This window comes from Homo sapiens, chromosome 1 (assembly GCF_000001405.40).
Source record: "Homo sapiens chromosome 1, GRCh38.p14 Primary Assembly".
NCBI classification, from domain to species: Eukaryota; Metazoa; Chordata; class Mammalia; order Primates; family Hominidae; genus Homo; species Homo sapiens.
This window is the reverse complement of record NC_000001.11, coordinates 26966012-26993603: the sequence shown is the minus strand read 5'-3', so window position 1 is coordinate 26993603 and position 27592 is coordinate 26966012. Positions and strand designations below refer to the sequence as shown.

General features: G+C 49.6%; 1 protein-coding gene and 2 pseudogenes across 1 annotated transcript, besides 5 other annotated features; 1 reads left to right on the top strand and 2 right to left on the bottom strand.

Moving 5' to 3' along the window:
* Positions 53-552: an enhancer, noted in NCBI's record as "H3K4me1 hESC enhancer chr1:27319543-27320042 (GRCh37/hg19 assembly coordinates)". NCBI's record gives its function as "activates a minimal SCP1, AML or CMV promoter by ChIP-STARR-seq in naive H9 embryonic stem cells {active_cell/tissue: H9 hESC(naive)}" and the evidence as "EXISTENCE:reporter gene assay evidence [ECO:0000049][PMID:30033119]".
* Positions 140-299: an enhancer, noted in NCBI's record as "active region_532". NCBI's record gives its function as "activates an Ori minimal core promoter by ATAC-STARR-seq in GM12878 lymphoblastoid cells {active_cell/tissue: GM12878}" and the evidence as "EXISTENCE:reporter gene assay evidence [ECO:0000049][PMID:35858748]".
* Positions 553-1054: an enhancer, noted in NCBI's record as "H3K4me1 hESC enhancer chr1:27319041-27319542 (GRCh37/hg19 assembly coordinates)". NCBI's record gives its function as "activates a minimal SCP1, AML or CMV promoter by ChIP-STARR-seq in naive H9 embryonic stem cells {active_cell/tissue: H9 hESC(naive)}" and the evidence as "EXISTENCE:reporter gene assay evidence [ECO:0000049][PMID:30033119]".
* Positions 2632-2926: an enhancer, noted in NCBI's record as "tiled region #6295; HepG2 Activating non-DNase unmatched - State 5:Enh". NCBI's record gives its function as "activates a minimal TATA promoter and a strong SV40 promoter by Sharpr-MPRA in HepG2 cells {active_cell/tissue: HepG2}" and the evidence as "EXISTENCE:reporter gene assay evidence [ECO:0000049][PMID:27701403]".
* Positions 7261-7847, top strand: OSTCP2 (oligosaccharyltransferase complex subunit pseudogene 2). The gene has a single exon (XM_047437145.1). The coding sequence runs from the start codon at positions 7264-7266 to the stop codon at positions 7705-7707; it is 444 nt and encodes a 147-aa protein (XP_047293101.1). The 5' UTR covers positions 7261-7263; the 3' UTR covers positions 7708-7847.
* On the bottom strand, positions 9525-10009 carry RPL32P6 (ribosomal protein L32 pseudogene 6; annotated as a pseudogene).
* Positions 12581-13524, bottom strand: RPL12P13 (ribosomal protein L12 pseudogene 13; annotated as a pseudogene).
* Positions 26173-26873: a silencer, noted in NCBI's record as "S3 fragment used in the reporter construct". NCBI's record gives its function as "represses activity of a beta-globin enhancer-driven SV40 promoter in transfected K562 erythroleukemia cells {active_cell/tissue: K562}" and the evidence as "EXISTENCE:reporter gene assay evidence [ECO:0000049][PMID:30886051]".

Sequence of the window (27592 nt, the reverse complement as noted above, 5' to 3'; positions counted from 1 at the left end):
CCGCCCCGCCCCCCCCCCCCCCCCCCGCGCTCTGCACATTCAGGGCATTCCCCAAACCCTTCAGGTCCTGCCCTTCGCCGGATTCTGCTCCGCTAGGGCATCCGGTCCCCTTTCGCCTCTCCCCAAATTTTGGGTGCAAAGGGAGCCTCATCTTCCCTGGTTTGGCCCCTCAGAGTCATAAGCTCTGGTAGCTGGTGTTTAGAAATTCACGGAATCCGGTCTCCATCCGGGGGAGGGTCTTGCCTAAGGCCTCTGTGCGAAGAGAGCCTGGGCTAGAACGCAGGAGGCTTGACTCCTTGTGCCGTGCTCCTCCCACACCTCATGCTGCCCTTGGCCGAATCAGTTCTGCCCGGTCTCTCCTGGGCCATAGGGCTCTCAAGGACCCCCTTTCCCACCTCACTAGGGCAGTGGAAGGGTTAACGCAGAGGGGCGACTGCCGTCCTGGTGGGACGGGGATCTAGCTGGACTGATTCCACGATAGGTAGAGCGCTTTATTCGCAGAACAAATACCTCAGCGCTGCCGCTGAGCCTGCAAACCTTGGTGGCATCACAGAGGAGCCCCGGACCCCACGGTGTGCAAAGTTCTTTCCCTGCCCCGGCTCGTGTTTACTCCTCCCAGCCGGTGTTCCTACACATTTTAAAGAGGGGGAAACTGGCCGGGCGCGGTGGCTCACGCCTGTAATCCCAGCACTTTGGGAGGTCAAGGCGGTCGGATCACCTGAGGCCAGGAGTTCAAGACCAGCCTGAGCAACATGGCGAAACCCCATCTTTACTAAAAATAGAAAAAAATTAGCCGGTCGTCGTGGTAGGCGCCTGTAATCCCAACTACTCGGTAGGCTGAGGCAGGAGAATCGCTTGAACCTGGGAGGCGGAGGCTACAGTGAGCCAAGATCGCGCCATTGAACTCCAGCCTGGGCGACAGAGCAAGACTCCGTCTCAAAAAAAAAAAAAAAAAAAAGCCGGGGGCGGGAAGGGGGAAGGGGGGTGTGCGGGGGCGGGGAACTGACTGGCGGGGCGCGGTGGCTCCGCCACCACTTTGCGAGCCCGAGGTGGGTGGATCACCTAAGGTCAGGAGTTCTAGACCAGCCTGGCCAACATGGTGAAACCCCTGTCTCTACTGAAAATACAAAAAAATTAGCCAGGTGTGGTGGCGCACCTCTGTAGTTCCAGCTACTCAGCAGGCTGAGGGAGGAGAATCGCTTGAATTCGGGAGGCAGAGGTTGCAGTGAGCAGAGATTGTGCCACTGTACTCCAGCCTGGGCGACAGAGCAAGACTCAGTCTCAAAAAATAAATAAAAATAAAAAATAAAGAAGGGGAAACTGAGACCCTGAAGGGCAGTAGTGCTTTGCCCAATGTCTTATTGACGACTGGTGGCTGAATCCAGATTTTTGAATCTGGACAGAAATGCACGAGCTCAGCCATTCATGCCCTCTGGGGGCTCAGATACCTGGGTCTAGTCCTCTTGGTGGAGGGACGTTCTTTATGTGGGACTTTATCTGACACTTCTCATCTGGCCCTGACAAAATGATAGAATGGAACCCTGCCCACTTTTCCCCCAACAGAAATGACCCTGCCATACCAAACACTGGCTCAGACACCATGGGCCTGCCTCAGTTTCCATCTACTTGAAGGTGGCATCAGAGATGGGAGGTCTCTGTGGTGGGTGGGGGCAAGGGCCAGGGGTCCAGAAACCAGCTCTGAACCCGATTGGGAAGGACTGCAGCAGACCCTGGGCTCAGGAGGACCTGCGGAAGGTATGGCCAGTGTGACTGCTGAAGCCTGAAGAGGAGGCAGATGGCGTGCTTGCATGATGTGCAGGATGATGATAGAGCCTCATCCTCCCCCCATGAACACATGTTCTCTAACTGCTTTCAGGTGTCTTAGAGTGAGTGAGACTGAGTGATGGGGACTCGTGGGCGAGACAGTTGGGCTCCAAAGAGGCAGCTCAGAAGCGGCTGGGAGAGGAAGGCGGGTGGGTGAGAGGCGCCAGGCTCAGTGAAGAGGAAGGGTGGAGGGGTTGGGGGAGGGAGGAGGTCAGAAGCAGGGTGCCCAGTGACCAGGGGTGGTGGAGACTCAGTGAGGGGAAGGGGAGGGCTTGGGAGGATGACTCAGTCAGAGGGGAAGAAGAGCTGTTCAGTGACTGTGCTGGGGCTCAGTAGGGGGAAGGGGCTGAGTGTGTGCAAAGGTGCTGGCGGAGGCTCGCCATGGGGGAAGGGAGGTTCAGTGAGGGGCATGGGAACTCAGAGAGTTGGAGGGGCTCAGTGAAGATGAGGGAGGCTCAGGAGCTACCAGGTTGCCCCCAGCAAGGAGGCTTGCCCTGCTGAATGATGGTGTCCCTTTGAACAGTCTCTTTTGTGTCATGCAATCATAGGTCTTTCTCAGGGCAGAAGCCCCTCATTGCCATGGTGGTGGGGAGATGGACAGGTGTTTTGCCTTCATGAGGCAGATCACTGCTCCCAACTCCTCAAGGACTGATTCAGGGGAAGAAGACTAGGACTTATCTCCACCCCCAACCACTGGCCAGATCCAGAGAACCAGTCAGACCCGGGTTGAAAACCAACACACACTGCCCATCTGGGTGACCTTGGGCAAGTAATTTATCTGAGTGGGAGAAGATGCACAGTATATATTTATTGAAGGAATGAATGTTCTCTGTCTCGTGATATCATCCCTAAGAAAGGGAGATTGATAGCCGTCTCTTCCTGATGAGAAACCAAAGTCCAGAGAAGTGAAGAGGCTTGCCCAAGTTCACACAGCAGGTAAATGGCCAAGCAAGAATTCAAACACAGATATGACCCACTCCGTGGTCACTCCTTACCTCCCTGTTCTCTGACAATGCTCCCTGTTGCTATCCTCTGTGGTATTTCCTATGAGTCATATGTATGTATTTGTTTATTGTTTAATTATTAATAGTCTCTCCCCCTTGACTGGTTTTGCTTATCACTAGAATCCCCTGAAGTCAAGCAGAGTGCCTGGCCCCATAAAGCACTCAATAAACATTTGTCTGAATTGAAAAATTTAGGCCGTGCACAGTGGCTCACGCCTGTAATCCCAGCACTTTGGGAGGCTGAGGCAGATGGATCACCTGAGATCAGGAGTTCAAGACCAGCCTGGCCAATGTGGTGAAACCCCATCTCTACTAAAAATACAAAAATATGGCCAGGGACGGTGGCTCACACCTGTAATCCTAGCACTTTGGGAGGCCGAGGTGGGTGGATGATGAGGCCAAGAGATCAAGACCATCCTGGCCAACATGATGAAACCCCACCTCTACTAAAAATACAAAAAATTAGCTGGGCGTGGTGGGGCAAGCCTGTAGTCCTGACTTCTCAGGAGGCTGAGGCAGGAGAATCGCTTGAACCCGGGAGGCGGAGGTTGTAGTGAGCTGAGATCATGGCACTGCACTCCAGCCTGGCGACAGAGCGAGACTCCATCTCAATAAATAAATAAATAAATACAAATACAAATACAAAAATTAGCCAGGCGTGGTGGTGCACATCTGTAATCCCAGCTACTCAGGAGGCTGAGGCAGGAGAATTGCTTGAACCTGGGAGGCAGAGGTTGCAGTGAGCTGAGATTGCGCTACTGCACTCCAGCCTCGGCAACAGGAGCAAGACACCATATCAAAAAAAAAAAGAAAGAGAGAGAGAGAGAGAGACGGGGGTGGGGGGAGACAGAGAGAGAGAGAGAGAGAGAGAGAGAGAGGAGAGAAGAGGAGAAGAGAAGAGAAAAGAAAAGAAAAGAAAAGAAAAATTAACCGGGTGTAGTGGTGCATGCCCATAATTCCAGCTACTCGGGAGGCTGAAGCAGAATCACTTGAACCCAGGAGGCGGAGATTGCAGTGAACCAAGATCACACCACTGCACTCCAGTTTGGGCAACAGAGCAAGACTCCATTAAAAGAAGAAAGAAAGAAAGAAGGAAGGAAGGAAGGAAGGAAGGAAGGAAGGAAGGAAGGAAAGAGAGAGAGAGAGAGAGAAGGTAGGAAAGAAGGAAGGAAGGAAGGAAGAAAAATAAAAATAACACAAGGGTAGGCCGGGTGCGGTGGCTCACTTCTGTATTCCCAGCACTTTGGGAGGCAGAGGCGGGTGGATCACGAGGTCAGGAGTTCAAGATCAGCCTGGCCAAGATGGTGAAACATCTCTACTAAAAATACAAAAAAGTTACCCGGGCATGGTGGCGGGTACCTGTAATCCCAGCTACTGGGGAGGCTGAGACAGAGAATTGCTTGCACCCAGGAGGGAGAGGTTGCAATGAGCTGAGATTGCGCCACTGCACTCCAGTCTGGGCAACAGAGAGAGACTCCGTCTCAAAAAAAAGAAAGAAAGAAAGAAAAGAAAACACAAGGGTAGAGCTTGCTGAGAATGGAGAGTTCCCTTCTCCATTCATTCATTTATTCTTTTTTATTTTATTTATTTATTTATTTATTTATTTATTTTTTCTGAGACGGAGTCTTGCTCTTGTTGCCCAGGCTGGAGGGCAGTGGTGCAATCTCAGCTCATTACAACGTCCGCCTCCCAGATTCAAGCGATTCTCCTGCCTCAGCCTCCCGCATAGCTGGGATTACAGGCATGAGCCACCACGCCTGGCTAATTTTGTATTTTTAGTACAGACAGGGTTTCTCCAGGTTGATCAGGCTGGTCTCGAACTCCCAACCTCCAGCGATCCGCCCGCCTCTGCCTCCCAAAGTGCTGGGATTACAGGCGTCAGCCACTGTGCCCAGCTTCTTGTCAGCTTTCTTAACTGGCCTGAGCACCACACTCTCGGAGTGGATAGGAGCCACAGTCTACCACCTATTAGTGCACATCCAGCCCAGCAAACACAACACCTGGAATGAAGAAATCCATCCATAACTGTAATGATTATTGTGTTTTTCTGATCTTTATAAAAGTTATAGAGTACATTCCTTTTGTAGAAAATCTGGAAGACAGATAAAATACTAAAATACTGAAAAAGAATAGGCTGTCAGGCAAGGTGGCTTATGCCTGTAATCCCAGCACTTTGGGAGACTGAGGCAGGAGGATCACTTGAGCAACTAGGAGTTCAAGACCAGCCTGGGCAATATGGTGAGACCTCATCTCTATGAAAAATAAAAATAAATTACCTGGGCATGGTGGTGCATGCCTGTAGTCCCAGCTATTCAGGAGGTTGAGGTGGGAGGATCGCTTGAGCCCAGGAAGTCGAGGCTGCAGTGAGCTGTCTCTTGCCACTGCACTCCAGCCTGGGTGACAGAGCAAGACCTCATCTCAAAAAATAAAAATAATAGGCCAAGCACAGTGGTTCGTGCCTATAATCCTGTACTTTGGGAGGCCAAGATGGGAGGATTGCTTCAGTCCAGGAGTTTGAGACCAGCCTGGGCAACATAGCAAGACTCTCTGTCTCTATGAAAAATTTAAAAAATTAGCCAGATTTGGTGGTGCACGCCTGTAGCTACATGGGAGGCTGAGGCAGGAGGACCCCTTGAGCCCAGGAGTTTGAGGCTGCAGTGAGCAGCGTCTGCACCACTGTACTCTGGCCTGGGAGACACAGAAAGACCCTCTCTCTCTCTTTTTTTTTTTTTTTTTTTTGAGATGGAGTCTCACTGTGTCACCCAGGCTGGAGTGCAATGGTGCGATCTCAACTCACTGCAACCTCCGCCTCCCAGGTTCAAGCAATTCTCCTGCCTCAGCCTCCTGAGCAGCTGGGATTACAGGCGCCCGCCACGACACCTGGCTAATTTTTGTATTCTTAGTATTCACCCAGCCGACCCTGTATCTTTAAAAAAAAAAAAAGAAAGAAAACAAGAAGAAGAAGAAAAGAAAAAGCCTGGGCGTGGTGGCTCACGCCTGTAATCCCAGCACTTTGGGAGGCCGAAGCAGGTGGATCACTTGAGGTCAGGAGGTCAAAACCAGCCTGACCAACATGGTGAAACACCATCTGTACTAAAAATACAAAATTAGCCAGGTGTGGTGGCGCACGCCTGTAATCTCAACTACTTGGGAGGCTGAGGCAGAATTTCTTGAACCCAGGAGGGAGAGGTTGCAGTGAGCCGAAATCACATCATTGCACTCCAGCCTGGGCAACAAGAGCGAAACTCCATCTCAAAAAAATTTAAAAAAGAAAGAATAGAGGAAAGGAGCCTGAAATCAGAAAGACTTATGTTTGAATCGAAGTTCAGTCCTTTTCTAGCTATGCAACCCTGAGAGAGGCACCTTTGTTCTCTGAACGTCAGGGTTTTCATCTGAGAAGTGGAACGGCTAATATCTATGGCATAGACAAGGACATTGACTCATGCAAGGATATGCCCAAGATCTCACATATCTATGGTCATATCTGGTCGTATCTATCTGACTCAAAACCTGTGGCCTGAGTTTGAGACCCTGAAAGAGAAGAGGCAGCTGAGATGGGACCAGGTTCCAGAGTCTGGTCCAGTATGTATCTATTGCCTCCAGGACAGCAGCCAGAAGAGACAGCCTTGTGGAGGGGACAGTGACTGTGGCTGTGGCCCCAAGCAGGATCCCCAATCCCCTCCATTAGCTGAGAGTGGGGTGGGGAAGGGGTCAAGGCCTGAGGAGTATATGTCCATCCCAGCCTAGAATATTTGAGTCCTCTGCTAAGAGATCCAACCTCTCCCTTTCAGCCTCTCCCTGGCAACCTGGCCTGGCACCCTCTAGGAAGTGATCTCAGTTTAATAATTTAGCAGATGCAGACAAAGATAGCAGCTCCGAAAATAACCCAGTCAGGCCCCAGCCTCCACCTTCCCTTTCCTTAACAGACTCCCCTGCCCTCCCCACAAGGTCTCTGGTTGCCCTACACACCTGTCAGTGTTCCTGCCTGCCAGTGAACACCTGATTCAATGCTTCCTCATTCTTCTTCTCCTCCTTGCTCCTTTCTCTCCATTGTTATATCAAGAGCTTTTATATGGGTCAGGCACGGTGGCTCACACCTGTAATCCCAGCACTTTGGGAGGGCGAGGCAGGTGGATCACCTGAGATCAGGAGTTCAAGATCAGCCTGGTCAATGTGGTGAAACCCCATCTCTACTAAAAATACAAAAATTAGCCGGGCATGGTGGTGCATGCCTGTAGTCCCAGCTACTTGGGAAGCTGAGGCAGGAGAATCTCTTGAACCTGGGAGGCGGAGATTGCGGTGAGCTGAGATTGCACCACTGCACTCCAGCCTGGATGACAGAGTGAAACTCCGTCTCCAAAATAATAATAAATAAATAAATAAATAAATAAATAAATAAAATAAAATAAAGAGCTTTTGCCTTTATGCAACCAACATGGAGATTTTGTACCATGTCCTGTTCTTAGTGCTTGAATGTCCTAACCTGAAGCTGAAGAAGCCGCCCTGGCTGCACATGCTGTCGGCCATGACTGTATGCTCTGGTGGTGGTGTCTTCCTCATTACCGGAGGAATCATTTATGATGTTATTGTTGAACCTCCAAGTGTTGGCTCTATGACTGATGAACATGGGCATCAGAGGCCAGTAGCTTTCTTTGCCTATAGAGTAAATGGACAATATATTATGGAAGGACTTGCATCCAGCTTCCTGTTTACAATGGGAGGTTTAGGTTTCATAATCCTGGACCAATTGAATGCACCAAATATCCCAAAACTCAATAGATTTCTTCTTCTATTCATTGGATTTGTCTGTGTTCTATTGAGTATTTTCATGGCTAGAGTATTCATGAGAATGAAACTGCCGAGCTATCTGATGGGTTAGAGTGCCTTTGAGAAGAAATCAGTGGATACTGGATTTTTTCTTGTCAATGAAGTTTTAAAGGCTGTACCAATCCTCTAATATGAAATGTGGAAAAGAATGAAGAGCAGCAGTAAAAGAAACTTCTAGTGAAAAAACAGGAAGCATATTGAAGCTTGGATTAGAATTTCTTCTTGGTATTAAAGAGACAAGTTTATCACAGTATTTTTTTTTCCTGCTGACCTATTGCTGTACCAACGATGTTGAGTGGCATTTTCTTCTTAGTTTTTCATTTCTTAAAGAAAATATACTCTATATCTCAACTATAATATCAAGTAAAGTGATTATTTTTTACAACCCCCTTACCATTTTTTAGAGATGACATTTCTGATTTTCAGAAATTAACATAAAATCAAGAAGCAAGATTACATAAACTGAGAACTCTGGACAGCTGATCAGCTTTATCTATGGTGCTTCACTTTAACTAGAGTGTGTGATGGTAGATTATTTCAGAATTGTATGTAAGACTTTCCTGAACAATAAGATGTATGAAAGGAGCAGAAACAAATACTTTTTCTAATTAAAAACAAAAAAGCTGGGTGCAAGGGTGCACACTGTAATCCCAGCTACTCGAGAGGCTGAGGCAGGAGAATCACTTGAACCCGGGAGGTGGAGGTTGTAGTGAGCCGAGATCGCACCACTGCACTCCAGCCTGGGTGACAGAGTGAGACTCTGTCTCAAACAAACAAACAAACAAACAAAAAGCTTTTATATCAATTAGGGCTTAGGGAAATCTTTCCACTGGGCGTGGTGGCTCACACCTGTAATACCAGCACTTTGGGAAGCCAAGGCAGGCAGATCACAAGGTCAGGAGTTCGAGACCAGCCTGACCAACACGGTAAAACCCTATCTCTACTAAAAATACAAAAATTAGCTGGGCATGGTGGCACACGCCTAGAGTCCCAGCTACTCGGGAGGCTGAGGCAGGAGAAACGCTTGAACCCGGAAGGCAGAGGTTGTCGTGAGCTGAGATCAAGACTGTGCCACTGCACTCCAGCCTGGGTGACAGAGCAAGACTCCATCTCAAAAAGAAAAGAAAAGAATAAAGAAATCTTTCCTAGAAGCCAGAAGACTTGGGCTTAATTCACTGTGTGGACCTGAGCACTCTCCTTCACCTCTCTGACTCTGTTCCTGCATTTGTAAAATGAGGCCTCTGGAAGCCGGGCGCGGTGGCTCGTGCTTGTAATCTCAGCACTTTGGGAGGCTGCAGCAGGAAAATCACTTAAGCCCAGGAATTTGAGGTCAGCGTGGGTAACATAGGGAGACCCCGTCTCTACAAAAACATTTAAGAATTAGCTGGGCATGGTTGCACATGGCTGTAGCCCCAGCTACTCAGGAGGCTGAGGTGGGAGGATCGCTTGAGCTCAGGAGGTCGAGGCTGCAGTGAGCCGAGATTGTGCCACTGCTCTCCAGCCTGGGCAACACAGTAAGACCCTGTTTCGAAAAAATTTTTTTTGAAATGAGGCCTCTGGATTCCTAAATAAGACATGAACAAAATGTTGGTGTGGGTGCCAATTACTTGGATAGGGGACTGGATGTCTTCCTCAGGAAGGCACAACTGCCGTGTCAATGTCATCTCAGTCAACAGCACTACAATCCATCTATGCTGCTGCTCTATACAGGGAGCCCAGATTTCTCTGTGTTTGATTTCTCTTGTGAAGAAAGCTTTGCCCTAGTTATTATTCCTAGAATAAAAGGCTATGACTTGTGTTCACAGTGGCGGTAGCAGGTTCCACATGCTTTTGATGCTTCATCACATTTTTGGTGTTACTTTTTTTTTTGCAGTTTTCGTGGTTTTATTTAAACATGAATCAGGCATGCATGCACGTGAGCCGTCTATTCATTTTCTTTGCTGTGCAGCCTGGAATTGGGGTTGGAGACTCTGGGGGCTAGTTATGCTGCTCTTTCCACTCAGGTTTTGTGGTTCTTGGAGGAAACATTGCGAGCAGTCTCAGCACAGTAAGATTTGCTGCACATCAGCAGCACTTCCAGCTCCTTGACATTGTGGACCAGGAACTTCCAGAACCCACAGGGCAGCATGTGCCTGGTTTTCTTGTTCTGCCTATGCCCAATGCTGGGCATCAAGATTTGGCCCTTGAATCTTCTCTGTACCCTACTGCCAATAACACTAGGTTTCTGTCAGTTACACTTAATTTTCACTTAACAGTCTGCTCCATCCATCAGACTGTTCACGATGCCACATGAACTTCTTGGTCCTCTTTTTGATGATCTTGGCTTCCTGAGGGGTGTGAGGGTGACCATGCTGCTGAGAAGATGGCTCCCACTTCTGTAGACAGCCCCGAGGAAGAGAAACTTATCACGTTTCTGATAAGTAGAAATTATACCTTCTCTCCCTTGAAGCATTACTCAAATCACCCCTCCTTTTTTTTTTTTTTTTCTTTTTTATTTGAGACAAAGTCTCACTCTGTCGCCCAGGCTGGAGTGCAGTGGTGCGATCTCGGCTCACTGCAACCTCCAACTCCCCGGTTCAATCGATTCTCTGCCTCAGCCTCCCGAGTAGCTAGGATTACAGGTGCCTGCCACCACGCCTGGCTAATTTTTGTATTTTTTTTTTTTTTAAGTAGAGACGGGGTTTCACCCTGTTGGCCACGCTGGTCTCGAACTCCAGACCTCAAGTGATCCACCCGCTTTGGCCTCCCAAAGTAATTACAGGCGTGAGCCACCGCACCCAGCCAAATTGCCCCACCTTTAGGGACTCAGTTTTCACACCTCTAAAATAGCCATACCTTGAAGGGCAAGTAGGGGCAATGTCAGTTCCATAAGGGCTGAGGTCACATTTGTTTTCATGCATTCATTCAATGTCATTAAGCACCTACTATGCACCAGCCACTGTGCAAGGTGCTAGAGGCACAGCAGTAAATACAAGAGGTGCAATGCAATCCCTGTTTCCACAAAGCTTACATATCATAAATCAAAATAGTTAAATCCCAAGAAATGTACCATGAGGGAATAATAAAATACCTTCTAATATTTATGGCTGGGCACAGTGACTCACACCTATAGTCCTAACTACTCGGGAGTCTGAGGCAGGATTGCTTGAGCCCAGGAGTTTGAGGCTGCAGTGAACTATGATTGCACCACTGTACTCCAACCTGGGTGACAGAGTGAGACCCTATCTCTAAATAAATAAATAAATATTTTAAAAATATTTAAGGCCAGGCATGGTTGGCTCACACCTATAATCTTAGCACTTTGGGAAGCTGAGGCAGGAGGATCGCTTGAAGCCAAGAGTTCAAGTTGCAACAAAGCAAGACCCCATGTCTACAAAAATAAAAATAAAAACATTAGCCAGGCATGGTGGTGTGTTCCTGTAGCCCCAGCTACTCAGGTGGCTGAGATGGGAGGATCGCTTGAGCCCAGGATTTTGAGGCTGCAGTGAGCTATGATTGCACCACTCCACTCCAGCCTGGATGACAGAGACCCTGTCTCTAAAAAAAATTTTTTTACAGGCATGAGCCATGATGCCTGGCCTAAAATTTATTTTTTATTTTTTATTTTTATTTATTTATTTATTTATTTATTTATTTATTTATTTATTTATTTTTTGAGACGGAGTCTCGCTCTGTCGCCCAGGCTGGAGTGCAGTGGCGCAATCTCAGCTCACTGCAAGCTCCACCTCCCGGGTTCGCGTCATTCTCCTGCCTCAGCCTCCCGAGTAGCTGGGACTACAGGCGCCCGCCACCACGCCCAGCTAATTTTTTGTATTTTTTGTAGAGACAGGGTTTCACCGTGGTCTCGATCTCCTGACCTTGTGATCCGCCCGCCTCGGCCTCCCAAAGTGCTGGGATTACAGGTGTGAGCCACCGCGCCTGGCCCAAAATTTGTTTTTTAATTAAAATATTTACTTAATGCTTCCTCTATGCCAGGTACTGATCCTACAGGGTACTATATTTTGCAGATGAGGAAACTGAAGGACAGAGAGGCGAATAGCTAAGGTCACATAGTCAAGGAGCAGTGGAAATAGGATTCAACACCCCGGTAGTGTGCCTCCAGAGTTCTTCCCTAGAAATCATGATCAAGGAATAAGCTAGTGACATGATAGAAAAGGGAGTCAGGGAGGTATTAAGTGTTCTCCTTTAGTGACATTTAAGCTGAGACCTGAAAGATGAGCAGGAACCAGGCATGTGGAATTGGGGAGTGAGATTTCACAGCAGAAGAAATAGGAAGTGCAAAGGCCCTGAGGCAGAAAAATCAGTGTGTGCAGTGCCTGGTGAGCCAGCAGGAAGGTGAGGAGGACTAAGGTAGAGACACAGCTTGGGCCTGAAGGCCAGGGTGAGGATTTCAGATTTTACTCTAATTGCAGGGGAAGCCTTTAAATGGTTTAAGTTGGGGATCAACATGATCTGATTTGTTTTTAAAAGATCATGCTGTTTGCTGTGTAAAATGAATGGACTAAAAGGGAGCAAGAAGGGAATGAAGGAGACCAGTTAGCAGATTACTGCCATAATCCCAGCTGAGAGGGAATGGTGCCAGGCGTGCTGGCAAGGGCTGGGATGGGGGATGGGTTTGAGTTTTATTTGGAGGTGAACGAAAGGACTTATACATGGATTAGTGTGGGGATGAGAGAATGCCCTCTGGCTTTGTGGATGAAGCAGCAGGGTGGATTAGGGTACCCTTGTCTGAAATGGGGAAAACCAAGAAACAGCAGATCGGGCTGAGAAATCAAGGTCAAGAATTTTTGGGCCCAGGAGCAGTGGCTCACACCTGTAATCCCCATACTTTGGGAGGCCAAGGCAGGAGGATTGCTCGAGCCCAGAATTCCAGACTAGCCTGGGCAACAAAGTGAGACCCTATCTCTACAAAAATAATTTTTTTTCACCAGTTGTCAAATGATCCTTTATTAAAATATTTTCCTTTGTGCTTCTTAACTAGCTGGGCATTCCACAGCACCACTGTTGATGTCATCTATGATGTCATGAGGGTGGTGGCCATCAACATTGCAGCCCACAGACTGGGCAGTCCCCGAGATCTCTTTAATGGTTCCAGGGAACTCTCTAGCTAAGGATTGGTGCTGCGGGCCAGGGGCGGTGGCTCACGCCTGTAATCCCAGCACTTTGGGAGGCCGAGGCGGGTGGATCACGAGTTCAGGAGATCGAGACCATCCTGGCTAACACGGTGAAACCCCATCTCTACTAAAAATATAAAAAATTAGCCGGGCGTGGTGGCAGGTGCCTGTAGTCCCAGCTACTCGGGAGGCTGAGGCAGGAGAATGGCGTGAACCCAGGAGGCAGAGCTTGCAGTGAACGGGAGATCGTGCTACTGCAATCCAGCCTGGGCGACAGAGTGAGACTCCGTCTCAAAAAAAAAAAAAAAAAAGATTGGTGCTGCATCTGTCAAGCAATGTTGAAGATTTCATCAAACGTGATATTCCCACTATGTTTAATATTTTTCTGTTTTTTTCTGTCTCTTGGTGGTTCCTTGAGGGCTTTGATGATCAGGTCAGAGGCAGAAGGCACCACCTCAATCTGGGCCTGTCTGTTCTGACTGGTCAGTTTCACTGTAATCCTCAGGCCCTTCCAGTCACCCGTTGCCTTGGCAATGTCATCACCAACCTTTTTGGGAGACAGACCCAGGGGGCCGATCTTGGGGGCCAGCGCAGAAGTGGCACCAACTTCACTCCTGGTGCACCTCAGGTATATGACTTTGATCTCGTTGGGGTCAAACTTCCATGGCACTGGGGAGGCGGCTGGTGTCGGATGAACCCGGATTTGGGACGACCAAAGAAAGTTGCACCTTGGCCTCCTCTGAGCCGAAAGGAGAATTTTTTTTTTTTTTTTGAGACGACGTCTCACTTTGCTGCCCAGGCTGGGATGCAGTGGCGAAATCTTGGCTCCCTGCAATCTCTGCCTCCTGGGTTCAAGTGATTCCGCCTCAGCCTCCTGAGCACCTGGGATTATAGGTGCATGCTGCCATGCCCGGCTAATTTTTGTATTTTTGTAGAGACGGGGTTTCACCATGTTGGCCAGGCTGGTCTAGAACTCTGGATCTCAAGTAATCTGCCTGCCTTGGCCTCCCAAAGTGCTGGGATTACAGGTGTGAGCCACTGTGCCCGGCCTCTACAATTTTTTTTTTTTTTTGAGATGGAGAATGGCGTGATCTCAGCTCACTGCAACCTTTGCCTCCCCAGTTCAAGTGATTATCCTGCCTCAGCCTCCCAAGTAGCTGGGATTACAGGCGCGTGCCACCACGCCAGGCTAATTTTTTGTATTTTTAGTAGAAACAGGGTTTCACCATGTTAGCCAGGCTGGTCTCGAACTCTTGACCTCAGGTGATCCACTGCCTCGGCCTCCCAAAGTGCTGGGGTTACAGGCATGAATCACCGTGCCTGGCCAAAAGAAATTTTTTTTTTTTTAATTAGCTGGGTGTGGTGGCACGCTCCTGTAGCCCCAGCTATTAGGGAGGCTGAGGGAGGAGGATTGCTTGAGCCTGGGAGGTTGGGACTGTAGTGGGCTATGATGGTGCCACTGCCTTTTAGCAGGGTGACAGAGCAAGACCCCCTTCTCCAAAAAAAAAATAATCATAATAATAAAAGAAGTTGAAAGGAAAAAGAAAGCATGAGAGCCTGGCTCTCCAGCAAGTTCATTCCTGCCACAAGCCTTTATTAAGCACTTACTGTGTGCAGACACTGCTCCAAGTGCTGGGGATGTAGCAGTGATCAAGACAGGCAAGAACCCTTCCCTCTGAGCACTCTCAAGCCAGGGCAAGAGAGGAAGGCCATAGAGTCTACACAAATAAGGTCATATGCGCTATGAAGGAAGTGAACAGTGAAGTGTAGGGAATAACCAAGGAAACCTACAGTAGAAAGGGAAGTCGAGGATGATGGAGTAGGCAGCTGTGGCTTTTGCCCTCCAAGCATCCATTTGTCCTACTTTTGGTAACAGTGACTTTATATTTTGTGGGGAACCATCTCTCCTACCTGCTCAGTGCATGTTTGTTGGGTTTTTTTTTTGGTTTTTTTTTTGAGACAGAGTTTTGCTCTTGTTGCCCAGGCTGGAGTGCACAATCTCGGCTCACCTCAACCTCCACCTCCTAGGTTCAAGTGATTCTCCTGCCTCAGCCTCCCGAGTAGCTGGGATTACAGGCATGTACCACCGCGCCCGACTAATTTTGTATTTTTAGTAGAGACAGGGTTTCTCCATGTTGGTCAGGCTGGTCTCGAACTCCTGACCTCAGGTGATCTGCCTGCCTCGGCCTCCCAAAGTGCTGGGATTACAGGCATGAGCCACCGCACCCGGCCTCAGTGCATGTTTTTTGTCTTTAGGAATGGGCCCATCTTTAGGAATGGGCTTGTGACCCTGGCCTGGCCAATGAAACTCAATACTGGGATGTTTGCTGAAACTGTTGAGAAAGAGAAACTCTTTATTTGAGAATTTTTTTTTTTTTTTGAGATGGAGTTCAAGCAACTCCCTGCCTCATCCTCCTGAATAGCTAGGATGACAGGCGCCCGCCACCATGCCCGGATAACTTTTATATTTTTAGTACAGACGGGGTTTCACCATCTTGGCCAGGCTGGTCTTGAGCTCCTGACCTCATGATCCACCCACCTCAGCCTCCCAAAGTGCTGGGATTACAGGCGTGAGCCACCACACCCGGCCACTTGAGAATTTTTGACCAAATAGATTATAAACATGGAGATGCAGGCAGCCATCTTGCCATCACAAGAAAAGTGCCTGCCTGAGGACGCGCCTGCCTGGCAGGAGAGCACAGAAACAGAGAAACCAGATGAGTGGTAAAATCACCTGAGCACCTGATGCCAGGAGTATCTGAAGGTAGTTCTACCCTTGGACTTTTTAGTTAAGTGAGCCAATAAATTCTGAAGGATGCAAGGGAGCCAGTCCAGGGAGTGCCATGAAGGAGCAACCCAGAGGGAAGGAACAGAAAGTGCAAAGACTTTGCAGAAGAGAATTTGGCTCATTTGTGGAATGCAGTCAGCACCTAAAGCAGGAACACAACACTCTGTGCTGACGGAATGAGAAGGGATAGAGCCACAGGAAGAGAGTTCCATTTCCAACAAAATGGAAGAAGAAGGGTGCAGAGAAACCCTTCCTCATATATAGCACTTAAAAAAATATAGATATGTTCCAAAATTATCTTTTATAAGGCATTGATGATGTCCTGAAGTCCTGTCCTGGGCAGGCCTATGCAAACCTATCCTCAAAGTCTGAAGAAGCTAAGAGGCTGAAGAAAAAGGCTAAGCCGGGCATGGTGGCACAGCACTTTGGGAGGCTGAGGTGGGTGGAACACCTGAGGTCAGGAGTTTGAGACCAGCTTGGCCAACATAGTGAAACCCCATCTCTACTAAAAATACAAAAAATTAGCCGGGCGTGGTGGTGGGCACCTGTAATCCCAGCTACTAGGGAGACTGAGGCAGGAGAATGGCTTGAACCTGGGAGGTGGAGGTTGCAGTGAGCCAAGATTGCGCCATTGCACTCCAGCCTGGGCAACAGGAGCAAAAATCCATCTCAAAAAAAAAAAAAAAAGAAAGAAAGAAAAGGAAAGAAAGAAAGAGAGAAAGAAAGAAAGAAAGAAAGAAAGAAAAGAAAGAAAGAAAGAAAAAAAGGCTGACAGATCCAGTTTTTCAGAAAGAAACATGTAATAGGGACTTACAAACAGAAGCTATGCCTGTTTCTCGGGGGACAGTGATGGTGGATCCCTGTGTCATTACCCCTGACCCAGGGCTTATCTACCACAGGGAAAGAGTAGACATGATTCTGAAGAGATGTATAGGACAACTGAAGTATGAAAACATCAAGGTTGTTTTAAGGTTGACTTAAGGGCAGGATTTATGGTAAGTACCTGTGCTTACACAAAGAACTGGAAATCTTAGAGGCCTTCCTGGAACTAGGGTTAATCAGAAGTCAACATGACAGATTAGCATCCAAGGTGGAGTTGCTTTGGCCTCCACAATGGACTGACTATGCAGTAAGGGAAAAAAATTAACAGAAATAATAAGAAAGGGCCACTCCTCTTCAGTAAATGAGCCTTATAGCTGGCATTTGTCCCAAGGGCACCTGTTGAACCCCGAGGCCACCTGTTGAACCCTGAGGCCTAGATCAGTCAAAAATTTTTTTTACTTCAGCTCATGATTTGGCATTTTACAACAGGACCCAATATATAGACAAAAGTTTCACAAGCCATACTCACCCCAATTATGTGTGGGGCACACTGATATTTCCTTGCCAATCTATTCTATGCCATTCTATTTTCTTTTTGAAATGGAGTCTCACTCTGTTGTCCAGGCTGGAGTGCAGTGGCGCCATCTTGGCTCACTGCAACCTCCGCCTCCCGGGTTCCAGAGATTCTCCTGCCTCAGCCTCCCAAGTAGCTGGGACTACAGGCGCATGCCACCATGCCCGGCTAATTTTTGTATTTTTAGTAGAGACGGGGTTTCACCATGTTGGCCAGGCTGATCTGGAACTCCTGACCTCAGGTGATCAGCCCACCTCGGCCTCCCAAAGTGCTGGCATTACAGGTGTGAGTTACCGTGCCCGGCTTCTATTTTCTTTCTTTCTTTCTTTCTTTCTTTTTTTTTTTAATGCACCTGGCTGGGCACAGTGGCTCACGCCTATAATCCCAGCACTTTGGGAGGCCAAGGCAGGCGGATCACCTGAGGTCGGGAGTTCGAGACCAGCCTGACCAACATGGAGAAACCCCGTCTCTACTAAAAATACAAAATTAGCCGGGTGTGGTGGCACATGTCTGTAATCCCAGCTACTTGGGAGGCTGAGGTAGGAGAATCGCTTGAACCCGGGAGGTGGAGGTTGCGATGAGCCAAGAGATCGTGCCATTGCACTCCAGCTGGGCAACAAGAGCAAAACTCCATCTAAAAAAAAATAAAATAAAATACAGGTTGAGTTCCATTGAATGATGCAGTACCAGGAGTTGTATTCTATTTGGGGAGGGGAAGCCAAGTTGCAATCACCATTGCAATCAGAAAGCATTCAGAAGAAAGGGGCCATTTGGGGCTCCAGCATTGTGTTGGATTTCTTTTCTAGGGAGTGCAATTTTAGACATGTTGAGTTTGAAATGCCTTTTAGATATTCAAGCAGAGATTTCAAGTGGGCAGTTGAAATTGTTTCTGGAGCTCAAGGCAGGGGATGGGGCTGTAGATATGAATTTGGAATGATCACATAGCTGGCACTGAACTGGATGAGATGACCGTGAGATGAGAGGAGAGGACCAAGGGCTGAGCCTTGGGCTGATATTAAGCGGCCAGTGAGAACAAGTAGCCACAACCTTTGCCCTTTTCTCTCTACTTTTCTCCATCTTGCTGTCAGAAACTCAGATTTGGTGAATGCCATCAAGAACCTTAGGAACAAGCAGGGGCCTGGCCCTCGGGATGACAGAACAGTGAGCTGCTGGCCTCGGATTAGATTCCAGCTGAATCCAATTCCTAACTGATAGAGTAACGATACTGAGCAACTCCTGGCAAAATTGATCAAGACAAAGAAAGGGAGGTGGCACAAATAAACAATGTTAGGCTTGAAGAAAGGGACTTAACTATAGTTGTTGCTGAGATTTAAAAGATAATAGGGCCAGGCGTGGGGGTTCATGCCTGTAATCCCAGCACTTTGGGAGGCTGAGGTGGGCAGATCACCTGAGGTCAGGAGTTCTAGACCAGCCTGGCCGACATGGTGAAACTCCGTCTTTACTAAAAATACAAAAAATTAACTGGGCGTGGTGGCACACACCTGTAGTCCCAGCTACTCAGGAGGCTGAGGCATGAGAAGTGCTTGAACCCTGGAGGTGGAGGTTGCGGTGAGCCAAGATGGTGCCACTGCACTCCCGCCTGGGTGACAGAATGAGACCCTGTCTCCAAAAAAAAAAAAAAAAAAGTGACCGGCTCGGTGGCTCATGCCTGTAATCCCAGCACTTTGGGAGGCCGAGGCGGGCAGATCACCAGGTCAGGAGATCAAGACCATCCTGCCTAACAGGGTGAAACCCCATCTCTACTAAAAATACAAAAAATTAGCTAGGCGTGGTACATGCCTGTAGTCCCTGCTTCTCGGGAGGCTGAGGCAGGAGAATCACTTGAACCCGGGAGGCGGAGGTTGCAGCGAGCCAAGATCATGCCATTGCACTCCAGCCCGGACGACAGAGTGAGACTCCGTCTCAAAAAAAAAAAAAAAAAAAGTACTGGAAAATCTCATTAAATTAGTGCTGGCTGCCTGGATGTTCATTACATTTTTTTTTTTTTTTTTTTTTGGATACTGAGTCTTGCTCTATCACCCAGGCTGGAGTGCAGTGGCGCAATCTCGGCTCACTGCAAGCTCCATCTCCCAGGTTCACGCCATTCTCCTGCCTCAGCCTCCCGAGTAGCTGGGACTACAGGCACCCGCCACCACCCCCGGCTAATTTTTTGTATTTTTAGTAGAGATGGGGTTTCACCGTTTTAGCCAGGATGGTCTCGATCTCCTGACCTCGTGATCCGCCTGCCTCGGCCTCCCAAAGTGCTGGGATCACGGGCATGAGCCACCGCACCCAGCCTGTTCATTACATTTTTAATATTTAAATGATACATATACTTTTATCTAGATATATGTACAAACATGTATATTTTATATGTATATATGTATACACATATACACACATGTATACATACACACACATACATATATTCTTCTCAATGTATGAGATATTTCACATTACAAAGTTTAAAAACAAATGTGTAAGGGTCAGGTCACATGGTGTCTTGTAGCCCAGGACCCACTGCAGACACATCATAAACATGCACTGAATAGTTTCTCAGCCGTTGAGTTCTGGATCAGGTCCCTCCTGCTCATGCACGTTGAAGCTCCAGCTCTGGCTGGCTGCTGTCCCCCCACCACCCAGGGGTGGGGATCCTGGGATCCTCCCACCCCGACCTTAGCAGGCTCTCTGGCTGGGCCTGAAGCTTCCAGGCCCAAGAGGGATTGCTAGGCTGGTCCCAGCTGCTTGGTTGTAGGATGCTGAGGGACAGGTCTCCAGACCCAGGGACCAGAGTGGGAAGCTCCTTCCCCAGCCTCTTAGGCAGGGATGGCAGTTCAGGTTCCCCAGTTCCAGGGAAGGGATCCAGGGTCTGAGTTCAAGGGGATGAGTGCCATTCAGAAGGTGGGATCCCACATGGCTCCCAGATCAGCAAAGATTGCATGTTCCATGCACAGCTGGCATCAAATGGCACAGTCCCTGACCTGATGGGGTAATGCGGGTCAGGTGACCAGAGCAGCCTGGTAACCAGACTGAAGGGCTTTGTTTTTGTTTTTTGTTTTTTGTTTTTGAGACAGAGTCTCACTCTGTCACCCAGGCTGGAGTTCAGTGGTGTAAGATCTTGGCTCACTGCAACCTCCATCCACCTCCTGGGTTCAAGCAATTCTCCTGTCTCAGCCTCCTGAGAAGCTGGGACTACAGGCGCATGCCACCACACCCGGCTAATCTTTGTGGTTTTTTTTTTTTTGTTGTTGTTGTTTGAGACAGAGTCTCGCTGCAACGCTCAGGCTGGAGTGTAATGGTGCAATCTCAGCTCACTGCAACCTCCACCTCCTGGGTTCAAGCCATTCTCCTGCCTCAGCCTCCCGAGCTGAGGGATTACAGGCACCCGCCACCACACCCGGCTACTTTTTGTATTTTTACTAGAGATGGGGTTTCACCATATTGGCCAGGCTGGTCTTGAACTCCTAACCTCAAGTGATCTGCCCTTTCTGCCTCCCAAAGTGCTGGGATTACAGGCATGAGCCATCGGACCCGGCTGAAGGGTCTTGTTCATATCTGGTTCTGTAACATTTCTGGGCCTTGGCCAAACTCTGGGGGCTGTCACAGGTTAAGACAGCCCAACAATGATGGAGACTGGATTTCGCAACAGCCAGGTAGAATGAGGGCTCTAAGTGTGTTTTTAAAAATAGCCCGTTTCTTGCCTACCTAAATGTGTGCACCAGTACTCATCCCCACTACACCTGCTTCTGCCTTTTTTCTCCCTTCTTTCTCTTCTGACTCTCTAGGTCTCTGTCTCCATCCCCTCTCTTTCCCAGATTCTGCCTGCCCTGCCCCCAGTCTCCTCCCCTCCTGAGACCCCAGGCTCTCAGGCTGGCTTCCAGCCCCCTACAGCAGGCTCTAGTTCCAAGGAAAAGAGGCTTTTTGCTGTGAGCGCATCAGATACCAGGACCTCCCCTTCCGCCTCCATCCCTTCCATCCTCCTCCTCCCATTTCTGAGGACATAGCAGCCACCCCCACCCCTGCCCCCAGACATGCTGGGGGGAAGGAACAGCAGGGCTCAGGATGTGGTCGAATGTGGGGCTGCCTTTCCCTTCTGCAGAAGGCCAGAGTTCAGCTGGCTCGTGTATATTTTCCTTTTTTCTACCATTCATATTCCTCTGGGATGGCTTATGTGTCATTGAGCTCCCGTGCTGCAGCTCTGCTTGGCAGAGTCCTGGAGACCCGCAGGACCAGCCTAGAAGAGTAGGTGAAACTCAAGGTCACTCAGACCAAGGCTGAGCTAGACCAGGCTCTGAGCTCCCAGCCTCCTTCCTATTCCCCAACCTGAGCCCCAAGGGCTAAACCTGGCAATGACTCTCCTTCCCCACTTGGTAGGGAACCCTGCTCAGACCCAACCTGAGATACTCCATGCTCTCCCTGGCCCTGACCTATGGCTTCTGACCTTCACACAGTTCCCCTTCATCCCTGTAGACTTGGGGTTCCTGAGATCAGACCAGTGTTTCCCTGCCCCCTCAGACGGGGAGCCTCTGAGGCCTGGATTCCACAGAGGGGGGCCTGAAGGCAAGGCTGGGGTTCCCGCCTCAGATTGGGGGCTCCTTGGGGACAAGTCTGGGTCTGCCCATCCCCAGTCCATGGCACCAGCTCCCTTGATGTCTCCTCACAGGGTTCTGCCCACAGTAAGAAAAGACGTCCTTAAGGGAGGTAGCACAAGCCTAGGACAGAGGGAGGGGCACTCCCACAGCAGCTCCTCCCCATCCCACACCAGCTCTGCAGAGAGCCCTCCCTTCCCTCACCTTCGCTATGATTTAGGCAAGAATTGGACAGGATGGAAAGAAGCCCAGGATGTGGGGAGACAGGTCTGGGTTGAGTTACTTCTTCACTCAGAGCCTCAGTTTGCTTATCCATAAAATGGGAAGAATCCTATCTTCAGATGGTCTTCTCTTGTGTGTCTGCTTTTACCTATTGCTGCCAGGGATGGAAGGTGGCTGGTATCTCACCCTGCACCACCTTGTCTGACCAACAACTATTTTCTAGCGCCTCCTCAAATTGAGAAGCACTCCTGGAATCCCTCCCCTGGGACCCAACGAGCCCTGGATAACCTTCCACTGCAGCATTAAACTGTCGCCTCTCACGTTGTGTTGGCATCTCTGGGCATAGTCTGTGTCCTGACACACTGTGGGCTCCCCAAGGTCACTCACTGAGTCCTGTTCTCTCAGTGCTTGGCCCAGGGCTAGGCACGGAGTAGGGGCTCAGGGAGACCTCTTGGGTTCCCTACCTCGATTACTGCCCCCTCCCCACCCCCACTCCCACCCCACCCTGCCTCACCGTACCTGCCAGGGACTTTGTGTCTCCACTGCTGCTGACTCTCCCAAGCCCAGTGTCCTCCTGTGTCTAATTTGGGAGGTCCTGGGCAGGACCCTGCACCATCACCCCATGACCTCTGGCAAACCCCACCCACTCCCCTCTACCCTTGAATTTCATTCATTTCCTTCTACCACAAATGTAGGGGTGGTGCTAAACTGTTACACTGGTGGCCTCCAATGAACCATGGTCTTGTATGGTCCCCTCCCATGTTGACTCTGGGCTTGGCTGTAGGACTTGTTTTGGCAACGGGACACCAAGAAGCATGAAGCAAGCAGAGGCTTGATAAGCATTTGCACACTGGGGCTTGTCCTCTTGGAGGCCAGCTGCCACGCTAAAACACGGTCGGCTAGACTTCTGAATGATGAGAGGCCGTGGAGGAAGACAAGCCGTTTTGGGTGATCCAGTCTCAGCTAAGCTCCCAGCCACATGCATCAGCCAGGCGGAACCAGAACTGCCCTGCTGAGCCCCAACCAAGCCACAGAATTTTTAGAAATAATATATCATTGTTGTTTTATGCCACTAAGTTTTGGGGATAGTTTGTTTCTCAGCAATAAGCAACTGAAATAAGGGATACCCTAAGTCCCCTCTTCCCTCACCCTCTGCATCCAGTCCTGTGGGATCCGCCTCTGGAATATTTCATGGATCTGACCACTTCTCACCATGTCCCCAGGTGCCATCATCTCTCACCTGGACTCCCCGCGTAAGCATTGCCTTCCTGCAATCACCATACAGCAACCAGGGCCACTCCCTGGCTCAACACCCTCCAGTCAGTTCCCATATCCCTTAGATTAAAAGAAGTCCCGGGCAGGCATGGTGGCTCACACCTGTAATCCCAGCACTTTGGGAGGCCAAGGCGGGCAGATCACGAGGTCAAGAGTTCGGGACTAGCCTGACCAACATGATGAACTCCTACTCTACTACAAATACAAAAATTACCCAGGCATGGCGGTGCACACCTGTAATTCCAGCTACTCAGGAGGCTGAGGCAAGAGAATCACTTGAACCCAGGAGGTGGAGGTTGCAGTGAGCCGAGATCGCACCACTGCACTCCAGCCTGGGTGACAGCATGAGACTCCGTCTCAAAAAAAAAGATTAAAAGAAGTCCCTCTCCCCCTTGCTCACTGCACTCGGACAACACTGGCTTCCTTCCTGTTCCTCTAACATGCTGAGCTTATCCCAACCTCAGGGCCTTTGCACCAGCTGTTCACCCTGCCTGGAACACTCTTCCTCTCGGTCTTTCCATCTAGGTCTTTCCATTCTCAGCTTAAATGTCTCCTCCTCAGGAATGCTATCTATAGAAGAGGAAACTGAGGCTCGGAAAAGTGAGGTCATTTCCCAAGTTCACACAGTTAGGAAAAGGCTGGACCAGGATTCCATCCCAGGTCTGTTTGACCCTCTCTCCAGGGCACTTTCTCCCACATCGATGGTTTGGGAGGCAAAGCTGGTGGTCATGGGCTCCTGAGAAAGGGGAAGAATTGGAGGGGCCTCCTTCACTTACCCCCTCCATAAACACTCCCAGCCAGAGCCTTTGGGCTCTGCCCTGGCTGGGTGCTGGGGACTCAGGGATGAATCAGAACAGACCTTGCCCACTGGGAGCTTCAGTCTGAAGGCAGGAAAAGCAGCAGGGGAGGTCAAGATCACTTAGGGACCCAGATGGCCTTGACTTAGCATAGGGGACAGCCTTCTAGCTGGGGGCTCTCTAGGAAGGCTTCCAAGAGGCATTGGCTCTTGGAAGTGACATTGGCTGGGGTGGGCAGAACGTAGGGGGTGGTGTTCAGTGGCCAGAGCTGCAGTGCTCTCTCTGAGTGACCAGGAGCCTCAGCTTGGCCATGTGTAGCCTTTCCTCTGTGTGTGTGTGTGTGTGTGTGTGTGTGTGTGTGTGTGTGTGTGTGTGTGTGTAACAGTGAGGGAGTAGTATGGTGGGGGATGAGGGTGCAGCCAAGAGAAGGGCTGAATGAATAAATGCATTTCACTGATGTAGAAACTAAAGCCCAGAGAGTCTGAGTCACTTGTCCAGGCTCACAAAGCACCAAGCAGTAAAGGCAGGATCTGAACCCAGGTTTAACCTGACACCACACAGAGGCAAGTGAGGAAGCAGAGGTCCATATTCACCAAGGCCCACCCCTTACTCACTATGTGACCTCAACTAAGCTCGTTCCCCTCTCGCACCTCATTTTCTCATTGGCAAATTGAGGGGGTTGGGTGAAGCTTCTTTTGGCACAAGGACTCTGGAAAATACTTTTACTAGGGACTTGGAACCAACCAGCAGATCCTGCCTCAACCTGGCACAAGATAGGGTTCCTCAGCCTGCAGCTCCCTCTAGGCCCAGCCAATGGGGTGCAGCACTGGCACAAGACAGAGAACCCCAGGAATCCCTGGGGGCTCCCGTCTAACAGTGCAGCCTGGAGTTCCAGGGGGCTTCCCCTGCACCTCTCTCCACAGCTCTCACACAGTACAGAGCCCTGTTCGCTTGCCCCTCACCCCCTTCACCGCCACCCCCACCCCACAAGCGTAACAGTTTTTTTTGTTTGTTTTGTTTTGTTTTTTGAGATGGAGTCTCGCTCTTGTTGCCCAGGCTGGAGTGCAATGGTGTGATCTCGGCTCACTGCAACCTCCACCTCCCGGGTTCAAGCGATTCTCCTGCCTCAGCCTCCCAAGTAGCTGGGATTACAGGCATGAGCCACCATGCCCAGCTAATTTTGTATTTGTAGTAGAGATGGAGTTTCTCCATGTTGGTTAGGCTGGTCTCGAACTCATGACCTCAGGTGATCCGCCCACCTCGGCCTCCCAAAGTGCTAGGATTACAGGTGTGAGCCAACGCAGCCGGCCTCTAAGGACCCAGTTTCTGGGGGGCCCAGAGGAGCCACTGCAAAGAGCTCAGGCTCTGAACCAGAATGAACTTGGGCTCAGCTCTAGGCTCTGCCACTTACTAGCTATGTGACCCTGGGCAAGTGGTTTAAATCTCTGAGCCTCTGTTTTCTTAGCTGTAAAACAGGAGTTTGAGATCTGTTTACTGAGTTATTGTGAGGATTTTTTTTTTCGCTTGGGGGACAGGGTCTTGCTCTGTCACCCAGGCTGGAGTGCAATGGCATGATCACTGCTCACTGCAACCTTGACCTCCTAGGCTCAAGTGATCCTCCTGCCTCAGCCTCCTGAGTAGCTGGGACCACGGGCGTGCATCACCATACTGGCTAATTTCTTTTCTTTCCTTTTTTTTGGCAGAGACAAGGTCTTGCTGTTTCCCAGCCTGGTCTGAACTCCTGAGCTCAAACGATCCTCCTGTCTTGGCCACTCAAAGTGCTGGGATTGCAGGTGTGAGCCACCCTGCTGGCCTTATTATGGGGATTAAATGGAATAAGGCACATAATAAACCTAACATGTTGTAGGCAGTCGTGGTCAATACCAGTAATTTGCTCAGCTTATTCTCAGAGGCAGTGGTCTTGCCTTTGAGAGTCCCAGCCCCAGAATGGCGGGGCAGGGAGCCAGAGGGTGGGGTGTGGAGGTGAGGAAGGGGGTTAATATAAAATAGCTAACATCTGTTTAGCACTTACCATGTGCTGGTCTCGGTTGTAATCACCACATGAAGCTATCACCCACACTTTACAGATGAGGTGTCTGAGGCACAGAGGAGTTCAATAACTTGGCCAAAGGAACACACAGCAAGTACGTGTATGAGCTGGGGCACGAGTTCAGATCCTATGGCTCCAGAACTCACACTCTAAACCACTGTGTTATCTTACCTCATGTTAAAACCATTTTTGGATGAGAAATGCTGAGGTCCAGGCCAGGCGTGGTGGCTCACGCCTATAATCCCAGCACTTTAGGAGGCCGAGGTGGGTGGATCACCTGAGGTCAGGAATTCGAGACCAGCCCGGTCACATGGTGAAACCCCATCTCTACTAAAAATACAAAAATTAGCTGCACGTGGTGGCCTGTGCCTGTAATCCCAGCTACTCCAGAGGCTGAGGCAGGAGAATCGCTTGAAGCCAGGAGGCAGAGGTTGCAGTGAGCCAAGATCGCACCATTGCACTCCAGCCTGGGCAACAGAGCGAGACTCCGTTTCAAAAAAGAAAAAAAAAAAAAAAGGAAATGCTGAGGTCCAAAGAGGCTAAGTTCACACCACAGCTGAGCATCTAGTATTCCAAGTCAGAACCTGTGACCCTGAAGTTCTGGCAATTTCCACTGTTGTGTGCTGTCCCCTAGTGCCCTTATGGGAGAAGCACACCAGAGGCAAGCAGCAGATACCCAGGGAAGGAAGGGAAGCAGGTCCACTGAAGCCGGCTCCACACACCACTGCCTACATTCCCCTGACCCACGGCTCCTCCACAGCCCCAGCGCTGTACGTGTTGCAGCTCCTAAACAGCACTCCAAAATGGCATCCATGGATACAATGGTGATATGTCTGGGCTATCTTACAGACCATCAAATTCAATAGGTCTAACACTACGTTTGCATTCTTACACCCCAAACTGGTCCTCCCCAGTCATCTCCATTCATCCAGTAACACAGCCAGAAGCCCAGCGTCATCCTTGATACTTCCCTCCTCCCACCAAGCTGTCACCACCAGCCTGGGAGCCTAAATGGTGGCTGAGGAGGGTGATCAGAAAAGTAAAAATTGAACAGAGTGGAGCAACCATGGGGAAAGCAGGGGATTGGGACAATGGCCCCAGGTCAAGGCCAAAAGGAAAAACTGAGCTCAAGAGGCTGATGACAGAGGCAGTTGTCCACTCTGCTTAGAAAGAAACCCAGACACGCTGGGTGCGGTAGCTCATGCTTGTAATCCCAGCACTTTGGGAGGCTGAGGCGGGTGGATCACGAGGTCGGGAGATTGAGACCATCCTGGCTAACTCGATGCAACTCCGTCTCTACTAAAAATACAAAAAATTAGCCAGGTGTGGCAGCACACGCCTGTAGTCCTAGCTACTAGGGAGGCTGAGGCAGGAGAATCACTTGAACCTGGGAGGCGGAGGTTGCAGTGAGCCAAGATCACGCCACTCCACTCTAGCCTGGGAGACAGAGCAAGACTCTGTCTCAAAAAAAAGAAAGAAACCCAGACACAGCTGTAAGGGCTTGGAGGAGGGCACAGTGAGGAACATTGTATGGGGAGTCAGAAAGATGGGGTTCCCACCCAGCTTTACTACTCATTAGAAGTGTGGCCTTGAGCAAATGGTCTAACCTTGATGGCCTCAGTTTCCCCACTTGTAAAAATGAATATGACATTGCCAACCTCATAGGGCTGTAATATGGATCAAGTAAAAAATGTGTTTGTTTTGTA